Here is a 13,593-nt window from a genome sequence, read left to right as displayed (position 1 = left end):
ACCTTTTCTTTACATCCTTGCCAGCATTTGTTGTTGTCTGTCTTGGATAAAAGCTTTTTAACTGTGATAAGATAATATCTCATTGTCTATTCCAGTCTTTTGCCCATTTTAAAATCAGATTTTTAGATTTTTTTCCTATTGAGTTGTTTGAACTCCTTATATATTCTTATTAATCCCTTGTCAGATAGACAGTTTGCACATATTTTCTCCCATTCTGTGAGTTGTCTGTTCACTTTGCTGATTGTTGCCTTTGCTATGCAGAAGCTTTTTGACTTGATGTAATCCTATTTGTCCATTTTTGCTTTGGTTTCCTGTGCTTTTGGGGTATTACTCAACAAATCTTTGCCCAGACTAATGTCCTAGAGAGATCTCCAATGTTTTCTTTCAGTGGTTTGAGAGTTTCAGGTCCTAGATTTAGATCTTTAATCCATTCTAATTTTGATTTTTGTATATGGTGAGAGATAGGGGTCTAGTTTCTCCCTTCTGCATATGGATGTCCAGTTTTCCAAGCACCATTTATTGAAGAGAATGTCTTTTCCCCAGTGTGTGTTCTTAGCACCTTTGTCAAAAATGAATTCACTATAGATGTATGGATTCATTTCTGGGTTCTCCATTCTGTTTCATTCGTCTGTTGTTATGCTGTTTTGGTTACTATAGCTCCATAGATGGGATCTCGCTCTGTCATCCAGGCTGGAGTGCAGTGGCACGATCACGGCTCATTGCAGCCTTGACCTGTTGGGTTCAAGTGATCCTCCCATCTCAGCCTCCTTAGTAGCTGGGACCACAAGCTTGTGCCACCACATCCAGTTAATTAAAAAATATTTATCTTGTAGAGATGGGATCTCTCTATGTTGTCCTGGCTGTCTTGAACTCCTGGGCCCAAGTAATCCTTCCACCTTGGCCTCCCAAATTGCTGGGATTACAGGTGTGATAAAGCACCCAGCCTCAATAACTCTTAGATTTGCCCTTTTGAGGCTATTTTCTAGATCTTGTAGGCTTTATTCTTATGTTATTCTTTTTTCTTTTGTCTTCCTCTGTGTATTTTCAAGTAGCCTGTCTTCAAGCTCATTAATTGTTTCTCCTGCTTGACCAATTCTGCTGTTGAGAGACTCTGATGCATTCTTCAGATTGTCAGTTGAATTTTTCAGCTCCCAAATTTCTGTTTGATTTCTAAAAATTATTTTAGTCTTTGTTAAGTTTATCTGATAGGATTCTGAATTCCTTCTGTGTTATCTTGAGTTTTGTTGAGTTTCCTGAAAACAAGTATCTTGAATTCTCTGAAAGGTCACATATCTCTGTCTAGGTTTGCTCACTGCTGCCTTATTTAGTTTGTTTGGTGAGGTCATGTTTTCCTGGATGGTCTTGATGCCTGTGGGTGTTCGTTGGTGTCTGGGCATTGAAGAGTTAGGTATTTGTTGTAACCTTTGCTGTCTGGGCTTTTTTGTACCTGTCCTCCTTTAGAAGGTTTTCAAGTATTCAAAGTGGATTGAGTATTATGATCTGTCTTTGGTTATTGTAGCTGTCTCTTCATTAGGGTACACCCCAAGCCCCAGTAACACTGTGGCTTTTGCAGACTCGTAGAGGTACTGCCTTGGTGGTCTGGGTTAGTTCTGGCAGAATTCTCTGTATTACCAGGCAGAATCTCTTGTTCTCTTCCCTTACTTTTCCTCAAACTAGTGGAGTCTGTATCTCCTTGCTGAGCTGCCTGGAATTGGGGAGGTGTGACCCAAGCACCGCCGTGACCACCACCTCTTGGACTGTGCTGGGTCAGACCTGAAGTCTGCACAAAACGGGGTCCTGCCCAAGGCCTGTGGTGACTATTGCCTGGCTACTATTGATGTTTGTTGAGTGTCCTAGGGTGCTTTAGTCAGTGGGTAGTGAATTCAGACAGGCTCCTGTGCTTCTCTTCAGGGAGATAGGTTCCCTTCTGGCCCAGGGTGAGTCTGGAAATGCTGGCTGGGAGCTAGGGCCTGGAGTTGGGAACTTTAGGAATCTCCTTGGTGCTTTATTTTTCTGTGGCTGAGCTGGTGCCTAAGTTGTAGGACAGAGTCCTTTTTACTCTTTCCTCTTCTTTCCGTAGGCAGAAGGAGTCTCTCCCTGTGGCTACCACCTCCCCAGGCCTGTGGTGAGTACTGCCTACTTACCACTGATGTTTTTTCAAGGCCTGAAGGCTGTTGAGCCAGCTTGTGGTGAATCCTGCCAGGCTTGGGTCTCTCTTCAGAGCAATGGGTTCCCTTCTGGCCCAGGGTGGGTCTGGAAATGCTGTCCATGAGCTAAGGCCTAAAATCAGGGACTTTAAGAGTTTGCTTAGTACTTTATTTTACTGTAGCTGAGTTGATACCCAAGTTGCAAGGCAAAGTCATTTTTGCTCTTCTCTCTCCTTTCTCAGGCAGAAGGAGTCTCTCACGGTGGCCACCACAGCTGGGAGTGCACTGGGTTACATCTGAAGTTAGCATGGTACTGGGTCTCTCCCAAGGCCCATGGCGAGTACTGCCTGGCCACTGCTGGCTACTGAAGTTTTTTCAAGGTCCAAGGACCCTTTAGGCAGCAGTTGATAAATCCTGCCAGGACTGGGTCTTTCCTTTCATAGCAGCTGGTTCCTTTCTGGTTCAGGGTGTGTCTAGGAATGTTATCTGGGATGTAGAGCCTGGAATGGGGGCATCAGGACTGTGCTTGGTGCTTTACTGTATTGTGGCTGAGCTGATATCCAAGTTGTAAGACAACGTGACTCTTTCCTCTCCTTAAGCAGAAGGAGGTTCTCCTGGAGCTACAAGCTGTGCTGCCTGGTGCTGGGGGAGGGGTAATGCAAGCACTGTTTGGGCTGCCCTAGCTGGTGTCTCACTGGGTCATGTGCACCTCAAGTCCACTGATTCCAAGTGCACACAACACCAAGACTTGCCCAGGAATTGAAGTCCTAGTGGCCTAGACTGCCTTCTAAGTTTATGTATGATCCCAGAGTACTTTAGCTTGCCATGGTAGGGCTAGCCAGAACTCAGGTTCCAACCACTGGGATGGACAATTCCTCTCTGATTAGGGCTCGTCTAAATGCTCCCTCCATAGATGCCGGCTGAATTCTGCCCTGTGCTGCTTTCTCCTGTGACGGGGCAGCACTGAGTTTCAATGCAAAGTCCCACAATCTCTGTGCTATCTCTCCCACAGGTACACAGATTCTGTCTCTGGACAACATGGCTGCTGCTAGAGGATAGGGTGGTGTTGGCAGTTCAAGACTGTCTTTCCTACCCTCACCAGTGGCTCTTTTATTTTTTATTTATTTTTTATTTTTATTTTTTATTTTCTAATAAGACTAGATTTATTCAATACCCTAGTAAAAGTTTTGATTATAAGTATCCAACAGTATAAAAAGTACAAAACAGATCTGTAGATTTCTAATATATTAATACAAAGTGCATGACTACATACAGTACATCTTACAGGCAAAGAGAGGTGGAAGGGGAAAAAGAAGACAGTGGAAGGGGAAAAAGAAGACTGTGGTTGAGGTCTAGTAATAAATAAATAAATACAGAAGTAGAGATGATCCATATTATAGTATATTCTACCACCAATACTGCAGCCAAAATGTACAAAAAAATCAGTTCAAAATAATAACTCAGGAAGATGATAATGGCTGGACTTTTGTAATTCGCCTCAAAGACTGTGGGAGAGGCAACTCAACTCACTGTATAGTCTGTGCATATGGTGGCTTGTAGCATGTAGGTTTTTTCCAAAAGAAGGAAATATAAAATGTTTGGATTAAGAACTATAAAACTACAGGGTGCCTATAAAAGGTGGCTTACTCCTTATTGTTATTATACTATCCAATTTTTAAAATGCAGTTTAAAAAAATAAGCGCTGAGTCTTGTTATTACAAGGCAGGCAAATGTTTCTCCCTCATTCTGAAAAGACTGAACTGACGATGCTTTTCCTGAACATTTAGAAAAGAGGCAGTAAGAGTACTCTGGTTTGGGTTCAAGTGAGAGGCTTTTCATGAAAATCTTAGGATTGAAGAGCTCTAAGTTCAGGATATCTCAATGTTCAGAAAGCCTCACTAAAAAAAGCCAATCCAAAACCATTTAATGTGAACACAAACCTCTTTTCTTTTAGTAAGTTTTACTTTTAATACAGAGTGAAAGAAAATAAAAACGTAATAGGCTAAAACAAGTCAAACACCCATTCTACACAGATAAAAACCTTCACAAAGGTCAACTGAAGTAATCCAGAGCTGAAACTGAATTGTGCAGATTTTCAGTGAAGTCACAGAAGTCATGTAACACAAACAAAAGTCGATTATATTTACACACTCAGCAAGCCCTCTAAGAAATGTGCCCCAAGAAGCATTAACCTTTGTTTTGTGCCATCCTGAAGACTTGCACATTTTATTTTTCAGATAGCTTAACATTTTTAATTGAGTGTGTTCTCTACCATGCAGTAATGCTTTGGTACTATTCATACAGGGTCTCGCCTGTCCTAAAGACTTGCCATTTCCCCAAGAGGAACTTTGATTCCAACCTGTACTACTGATTATTAAGCAGGACAGACAGAGCTTTCTGTTGCAAATACCTTGGAGGAGAAAGTAATTTCTAAATATACAGAGAGGTAACTTGACTATATATGTTGCATCCTGTGCCTCCCTTCATATTAACATTTGATAAAGATTTTAATTTATGTAAAACTTCTAAAGCAGAATCAAAGTTTTTGATAAAAAAGCAAAAACAAAATTAATGTATATATTTTGAAAAGTAAATTTTAATAACACACTGCAGAACACTGCACAGAACACTGCATTAAAAATCCTTAGGTACTTTTTAATTTCTTTAACTGAACTTCTAGTTTAAAGGAAACTCTTTATTCCCTGTTTTCTTTCTTCACCACAGTTTTCCTCTGTAATTAGTCCCTTCTAACTCAGTCCAGTGAATAACATCATAAGCTGGCCTATTCTGAACCACACCCTGCTAAACCACAGCAACTTTCTTACCTCGTTAGCATATACTGTTAGCATATACTTTTGAAGTGTCTACATTGAGATAGAGAATAAAAAGAATATTAAATAATTTTCTATATAAAAGATACAGCATTGTCTGATTGCTATATAAATGCCAGTAATGTGCTTAGTTCTTTACGTGTATTGTTTTATTCTTATGGTCAGCTATCCCCACATCATTTATTTAGTAATCGTTTTTTCTCTGCTGACTTGAAATGTCATCTTTATCGTATATTTTCATAGTTTTTTTTGCTCTTTAGGTCTTGATTTTCTGATTTGAAAGGTAATAGTTTATTTTTGTCTAAGAATTGCTGTTCAACTCAAATTAGGTAATGTATATCAAACTTATTTTTGATTATAACTATAGATGGAAAATGTGAAGATTTCCCAAAAGCCCAGTGTTTTAACCCATTTTAAAATATATGTATACCTTTATGTGCAATTTTCTAGATTTAAAAATTTTACGTTATAAATTCTTTTCCATATTTCTGCATGGTTGACTTTACAGCTATCTCCCACTATTCATGTTTGCTTAATTCTTCAGTTTGGATAGTGAATTTGAATGTCAGGGGGTACTGCCTTATTTGAATCTGTTTGTTTCCTAAAGTTTGCATAGCAAATAACAAGATAATGAAGGAAATTCCAGAAGTTTACTCAAACGTATTTGGTTCTTGAGTTTAGGTTGTGAGATTTTTTGAAATCAGGAATTTGGATAACAAGGGCGACCTGTATCCTCAAAGGGTATTGCACTGAAATACTACCCATTATAATGGGTTCTTTTGATTGTAGAGAACAGAAACCTACCTCAGAGTGGCTCAGGGAATAAAAGGGAATTGATTGGCACACTTAACAAGGAATTTCAGTGGTCTAGCTTATTTGAGGCACAACTGGATTCAGTGGCTCAAATATGTTGATAAGATTTTGCTGTGTGTGTTAGTTTCATTTTCTTTTATTGCAGAGCCTTCTTTTATGCATTCAGGGAATATGGCTGCCAGCAGCTGTAGGTTTAGATCTTTCTAGCTTAGCGGCCCTGGTGTGGGAAGAAAGCTTCTTTTCCGACAGTTGCAGCAAAAATTCCAGTACAGAATCTCAGTAGTCAGCCACTGTGGCTAAGAGTAATGAAATAAATTGATTGACTGGGCCTGGGTCACAGCAAATGTCTCTCTTCTCCCTTATCTGGGGAATGAGGTCAGTTCATTCAAACTATGTTCGATGACAAAGATGGAATGACAAGGAGGAGAAATAGTTTTTCAAAGGAAAACAGTAATTTTGAAGAAGGTACAGAGTACTTACTGGTCAGGCTAAGCTGATACACATATACTAGTGTGTCATACAATAATTCACGTTATGTTTTATTTTTTATTTTCATAGTTTTTTGGGGAACAAGTGATGCTTGGTTGCATGAGTAAGTTTTTTTTATTTTTAATTTTTATTTTTGAGATGGAGTCTTGCTCTCTCGTCAAGGCTGGAGTTCAGTGGTGTGATCTCTGCTCACTGCAACCTCCGCCTCCCGGGTTCAAGCGATTCTGCCTCAGCCTCCCAAATAGCTGAGATTACAGGCATGTGCCACCACACCTGGCTAATTTTTTTTTTTTCCTGAGACAGAGTCTTGCTCTTGTCACCCAGGCTGGAGTACGGTGGTGCAATCTCGGCTCACTGCAACCTCCGCCTCCCAGGTTCAAGCAATTCTCCTGCCTCGGCCTCCTGAGTAGCTGGGATTATAGGCACCCACCATGCCTGGCTAATTTTTGTACTTTTAGTAAAGACAGCGTTTCACCATGTTGGCTAGGCTGGTCTTGAACTTCTGACCTCAGGTGATCCGCCCGCCTCAGCCTCCCAAAGTGCAGGGATTACAGGTGTGAGCCACTGTGCCCAGCCATTTTTGTATTTTTAGTAGAGACGGAGTTTTGCCATGTTGGCCAGGCTGGTCTTGAACTCCTGACCTCAGGTGATCTGCCTGCCTCGACCTCCCAAAGTACTGGGATTAACAGGCGTGAGCCACTGCGCCCAGCTGAGTAAGTTCTTTAGTGGTGATTTCTGAGATTTTGGTGCACCCATCGCCTGAGCAGTATACACTATACCCAATTTGTTATCCCTCACCCACCTCCCACCTTTTCCCCCAAGTCCCCAAAGTTCACTGTGTCATTCTTACACCTTTGAATCCTCATAGCTTAGCTCCTGCTTATGAGCGAGAACATACGATGTTTGGTTTTGCATTCCTGAGTTACTTCACTTAGATTAATGGTCTCCAGTTCCATCCAGGTCACTGTGAATGCCATTATTTTGTTCCTTTTTATGGCTGAGTAGTATTCCATGGTGTATATTGACCACAATTTCTTTATCCACTCATTGATTGATGGGCATTTGGGCTGGTTCTATATTTTTGCAGTTGTGAATTGTGCTGCTATAAACATGCCTGTGGGAGTATCTTTTTTTGTATAAATGACTTCTTTTTCTCTGGGTAGGTACTCAGTAGTGGCAACTGGGTGATACCCTGTTGTGCAGGTTGGAGCACAGTGGCATAATTTGGGCTCACTACAACCTTTGCCTCCCGGGTTCAAGTGATTCTTGTGCCTCAGCCTCCTGAGTAGTTGGGGCTACAGGCCCGTGCCACCATGCCCAGCTAATTTTTACATTTTTATTAGGGATGGGGTTTCGCCATGTTGGTCAGGGTGGTCTCGAACTCCTGACCTCAGGTGATCCACCTGCCTTGGCCTCCTAAAGTGCTGGGATTATAGGCGTGAGCCACCGCACCTGCCCTACTTTTAGTTCTTTAAGGAATCTCCATGCTGTTTTTTATAGTGGTTGTATTTTACATATAGTGAATGTATTTTACATTCCTACCATCAGTGTCAAAGTGTGTTCTCTTTTCACCACATCCCTGCCAGCATCTATTATTTTTTTGATTTTTTTTATGGCCATTCTTGCAGGAGTAAGGTGGTATCACATTGTTATTTTGTTTTGCATTTCCCTCATCATTAATGCTGTTGAGCATTTTTTCATGTTTGTTGACCTTTTGTGTATCTTCTTTTGAGATGTCTATTCATGTCCTTAGCCTACTTTTTGATGGGATTGTTTGTTTTTTTCTTGCTAATTTGTTTGAGTTCCTTGTAGATTCTGGATATTAGTCCTTTATTGGATATACACATTGTGAAGATTTTCTTACACTCTGTGGGTTGTCTTTTTGCTGATTTTTTCTTTTTCTGTGCAAAGGCTCTTTAATTAAGTCCCATTTATTCATCTTTGTTTTTGTTGCATTTGCTTTTGGGTTCTTGGTCATAAAGTCTTTGCCTAAGCCAAGGCCTGGGAGGGTTTTTCTGACATTATCTTGTAGAATTTTTATTCAGGTCTTAGATTTAAGTCCTTGATCCATTTTGAGTTGATTTTTGTATAAGGTGAGAGGTTTTCATTCTACATGTGGCCTGCCAACTATTAACATTTTATTTATTTAGAGATGGGGTCTTGGTATATTGCCCGGGCTGGTCTTGAACTCCTGTGCTCAAGCAGTCCTCCCACCTCAGCCTTTCAAATAGCTATGACTATGGGCACGCACCACTGTGCCCAGCCTGATAATTTATTTCTTCCATTACATTTTCTTCAACTGAAATGGTACAAAATATGTTTTCTTTCAGCACCCACTTTTGCTTTTACTTGACGTTGATCTGCTATAGGTAAAACTTGGGCTTTTATATTCTTTCTAGTAATGATTAGCTGATATACAGTCTCGTCACATCTTATCTCAAATTCTGTTTCTCTGCCCATCTTTTTTTTTTTTAATTCTTTCAGTAAAAGTGTCCTTTTTTTTTCCTTTCTGAGAGACATCTGTCCACCTTTGACCTTAATCTCATTTAGTCTTGCTTACCAAGGAACTTTGGCTTACCAGTTAGACCTTCTTTTTCTTCAGTTTTTAGTTTCTGCTTCCTTGCTTGATCTTATTTATAATCATACAGTTGTGTTCCCAAGCCCCCTAACTAATAAACATTTCACTCACAATACTCCTGCTTTTTTTTTTTTTTTTTTTTTTTTTGAGACAGAGTCTCGCTGTGTCTCCAGGCTGGAGTGCAGTGGCACGATCTCTACTCACTTTACTCACTTCAACGTCTGCCTCCTGGGTTCAAGTGATTCTCCTGCTTCAGCCTCCCAAGCAGCTGGTACTACAGGCGGACACCACCATGCCTGGCTAATTTTTGTATTTTTAGTAGAGGTGGGGTTTCACCATCTTGGCCAGGCTGGCCTCGAACTCCTGACCTTGTGATTCGCCCGCCTCGGCCCCCCAGAGTGCTGGGATTACAGATGTGAACCACTGCGCCTGGCCCTACTCCTGCTTTCTTTGTAGCAGATTCGATCAACATCTGCTAGCTACTTACTTGCCACTCTGTGGCTTCCTCCTTAACTTCTTGTAATCTTTTTCTGTTTTGTACTTCTTTTCAAGAATACCAGTGATATCCAGAGACCTTTCTCTCAGGCCTAAGCCTAAAATAATAGTATGGAAGGGCTAAAAAAAACCCTTAAGAGATGTTTAATTCAATTTTATTTTCCTGTTTTGCTTGATGTTATTTTGATTATACCAGCTTTCTTTTGGCTAGTGTTTGCATGGTATTTCTTCTCCTTTTAAAAAAATACTTTCTGATTCTGTATCCTTATGTTATAGATGTGTGTCTACTGAAAACAGCAGATAGTTGAATTTTAAAACTTTGACCATCTTTGTCTTTTAACTGGAGCATTTACATGTAATATAATATAATTACTGTTGTATTTAGCTTTAAAACTTTACTATTTGTTTTCTATTTGATCTACCTATTCTGACTTTTTTCTCTTCTCCTTTCTTGCTTTCTTTTGAACTCATTATTCTGTTTTTTCACTCTACTAGTTGAAAAGTTATACATAATTATTTTTAACTTTTAGTTTCAGGAGTACATGTACAGGTTGGTTCTTTAGATAAATTGTGTGTTTCAGGGGTTTGGTGTACAGATTATTTTGTTACCCAGGTAATAAGCACAGCAGTACCCGATAGGTAGTTTTTCGATCCTCGCCTTCCTTCCACCCTTCACCCTCAAGTAGGCTCTTGTGTCTATTGCTCCCTTCTTTGTGTTCATGTCTACTCAGTTTTTAGCTTCCATTTATAAGTGTGGTGTTTGGTTTTCTGTTCTTGCGTTAGTTTGCTTAGGATAATGGCCTCCAGCTCCATCCATATTGCTATAAAGGACATTATCTCATTCTTTTTTATGGCTGCATAGTATTCCGTGGTGTATATGTGCCACATGGAAAGTTACACTTAAAAAACCTTTTTTTTTTTCTTTGAGACGGAGTCTCACTCAGTTGCCCAGGCTGGAGTGCAGTGGTGTGATCTTGGCTTACTGCAACCTGCGCCTCCTGAGTTCAAGCGATTCTCCTGCCTCAGTGTCCTGAGTAGCTGGGATTACAGGCACGCAGCACCCTGCTTGGCTAATTTTTTTTTTTGTACTTTTAATAGGGACAGGGTTTCACCATGTTGGCCAGGCTGGTCTCGATCTCCTGACCTTAAGTGATCCGCCTGCCTTGGCCTCCCAAAGTGCTGGGATTATAGGCGTGAGCCACCAGGCCCAGCCTAAAAAAAAGTCTTTTTTAGTGGCTACCCTAGAACAACCGTCAGCAGAATTTTCCTGTAAAGGAGCATATAGTAAAAGTTTTTGGCTTTGTGGACCGGCCTGGGCAGCATTCCATCTTGCTATGGGGTGATACTTCTTGGGGTGATACTTTTCAGGCTGGAAACGTCTGTGGCCACTGGCGCCTCTGCCTGAGTTTTTCTTGGGCCTGCTGGGCTTATTCTGATCACTCTGAATGGCAGGCTGTGTTTGGCTTGCACTACCAGCCTGGATCCCACACCTACCAAAGGAGGGTGTGTGAGTGAGTGAGGAGTTTGGCCACTCTACACAACCGAGCATGCTGGCTGCAGCGGGGCAGGCAGCTCCGGGTGCTGGCATAGGCGCTGGCTTCCTTGCAAGGCTGTGGATCAGGCATACCTCAAGCAGCTTCCATGGCTGGCACTGGGGAATGCAGTGGTGCTCGGAAGCTTGAAGATGCCAGGAACCGTAGAGCCCCAAAGAGGGTGTCAGAGCCCTGGCTTGGGGAGCCCCCAGGTCTGGACTCCATGAAGGGCCTTAGCTCTTTTCTCCTTCTCTCTTCTCTCCTTCTGTTGCCTACAATGGGACGAACAAGGGGCGTATTTCAGCCCTGTTTGTGTTATAGCTCTTTTAGTCCTGCCATTCGGCAGGTCCTGAGTTCTTGTTCTGTACCCAGGAAGAACGAGGTACACGGACAAGTGGAAGGTGAGCAAGGTGAAGGGGAGCTTTATCGAGTGATAGAATAGCTCAGAGGAGACTCGCAGTGGGTAGCTCCTCTCTGCAGCCAGGGTGTCCTGATGAGTGTTCGGGTGTCCTGATGAGTGTTCAGCTGTCAGCAGAGTGGAGACCGTGGAGTGGGTAGCTCCTCACTGCAGCTGGTAGTTGGATATCTCTTCAGCTTTCAGCAGAGGAGACCCTGGGGTGGGTAGCTTCTCCCTGCAGCTGGTTGTCCCATCATCTTCTCAACTCCCGGCAGAGAGGAGACCCTGGGGTGGGCACCTTTTCTCTGCAACTGGCAGGTGGTTGTCTCCCCAAGTCTGGCTGAGTTCAGGCTTTTATAGGTCTCAGCAGGGAGGGTGTGTGTACTGATTGGTTCATTGACAACCATGGGTGAGCCTGGAGAAAGCACCACAAGTTCCCACTCTGGTCATCGGGTGCCAATGGAAAGCCTGGTCCCCAGGCTTCAGGCCTTCCCTGGCTTGAAGGTGGGGTTTCACCAGGGACCTGCCTCCTTTTGCCCAGGAGCCTGCCTGCCTCCTCCTGCTGTTCATGGTGCCCAGGCTGTTTGTGACAGGGGGTGCCTACAGGTACTGAGCTGCCCTCAGTACCCCCTCAGCCTCCCTCTAGTGTTTGTAGGCACCCAAAGTTTAGAGGGGGCCAAGGTGGCAGGGGGCTGGTGTATCAGTGCTATCTGGAGCGTGTGCACACTTGGCCAGGCTGTGACAGTGCCCAGTCTCGGACCCAACCTTTCTCTGAGATTGGAGTGGGTGCTGGGAGTGAGGAGAGGCCAGGCAGTGGGAGCAAACACCTCTGAGCCTGCAGGGACTGGGCGGGGGGCCTTCCTGGGCCTCTGAGAGTGCAGACATGCCTGGGTCTGCAGCTGCAGCTTGGGCGGCTGCAGCTGTGCCTGGGAGGGTGGGGCTCCTGCCTGCTCCCATCCCCCAAGAGCACAGTGATGCCTGGGTCTGCAGCCCACCTGGGCAGGTGGCCGCAGCTGCACCTAGGGAGCACGAAACTCCTGCCCTGTCAACTCAGAAGGTGGCAGGGTTCCCACCTGTTCCTGGCTTCTGCTGCCTCCATGGAGCACGCAGTCCTGGCTGCACCTCCCCCACTGCAGCTGGTATCATGGCAGTGGCCGCTATAGATGGGCCGCTGCTGCCATCGGTGGCATGCACTTACAGTCCCAGCTACTCGGGAGACTGAGGCAGGAGGATCACTTGAGTCCAGAAGGTTGAGGCTGCAGTGAGCCATGATTGTGCCATTGTACTCCAGCCTGCATGACAGAGACAGACCCTGGCTCTATAAAACAAAAACAAATACAAAAACAAAACAAAACAACAACAAAATAAAGTGAGTTAATGGAAAAGGAGCTGTAGGAGTGAGTCAGAAAAAGAGCAAGACTATCAGGAAGACTACAAGAAAAATAACTATGTGAGTACACTTTCAAGAACTAGAAATTGGCTGCTTTAGTCATGCCATAGTGTGGTGTGTTAAAATGAAGAATGAGGAAAGACCTTTGGATTACCAACTCTGTGGAATTTTGTGACTTCTCCGGAGCATTGTCAAGTAGCTTGCTATGTGGGAAGAGTGGTAAGGGAGTAGAAAGTGAGTTCCCAAATATTTGGGAATATGGTGATTTTCAAATACTATTTTCTGGACCAGCAATAACAGAATTACCTGCATTTCCTCAACTCATAACTATTGTTGAGCCTGGTAATGTACATTTAAAAAAAAATTTTGTTTGTTTGTTTGTTTATTTATTTATTTATTTATTTAGAGACGGAGTCTTGCTCTGTCACCCAGGCTGGAGTGCAGTGGCATGATCTTGGCTCACTGCAAGCTCTGCCTCCAGGGTCCACGCCATTCTCCTGCCTCAGCCTCCGGAGTAGCTGGGGCTGCAGGTGCCCACCACCATGCCTGGCTAATTTTTGTATTTTCAGTAGAGATGGGGTTTCACCATGTTAGCCAGGATGGTCCTGATCTCCTGACCTCGTGATCTATCCGCCTCGGCCTCCCAAAGTGCTGGGATTACAGGTGTGAGCCACCGCACCCGGCTGGTAATGTACGTTTTGAAAAAGCTCCCCAGATGATTTTGATGAAAGCTCATGTCTCGGATTTGCAAGTACAGATTTTCCAAGCTGTTTAGTAAGGACTGGCTTGTGATCAAGATGGATTTCTGAGTGGTATTTTGAGACAAACCCTCCTTTTTGTAAAAAAAAAAACAAAACAAAAAAACCCACAAAGCAGTAATTGATAAAATAACAAAGATAAAACCAAACTGACAAAACTAGG

At 43.0% G+C, this 13,593-nt stretch overlaps 1 protein-coding gene across 50 annotated transcripts in view; it reads left to right on the top strand.

The window, feature by feature from the left end:
* MYO9A (myosin IXA) overlaps positions 1-13,593 on the top strand; it is a 296,310-nt gene that overhangs the window by 54,917 nt on the left and 227,800 nt on the right. For 11 of the 50 annotated variants that reach the window (XM_047432570.1, XM_047432579.1, XM_047432560.1 and 8 more), the window contains exon 2: positions 2,081-2,125. The exons of the other annotated variants lie outside the window; for them this stretch is intronic. The gene's annotated coding sequence lies outside the window, so the exon portion shown is untranslated. The remainder of the gene's footprint in view (positions 1-2,080; positions 2,126-13,593) is intronic. 50 annotated transcript variants of the gene reach the window in all.

Source organism: Homo sapiens, chromosome 15, assembly GCF_000001405.40.
Source record: "Homo sapiens chromosome 15, GRCh38.p14 Primary Assembly".
Taxonomy (NCBI): Eukaryota; Metazoa; Chordata; class Mammalia; order Primates; family Hominidae; genus Homo; species Homo sapiens.
Note: the sequence above shows the minus strand (reverse complement) of the source record. Positions and strands in the feature narration are given on the sequence as shown.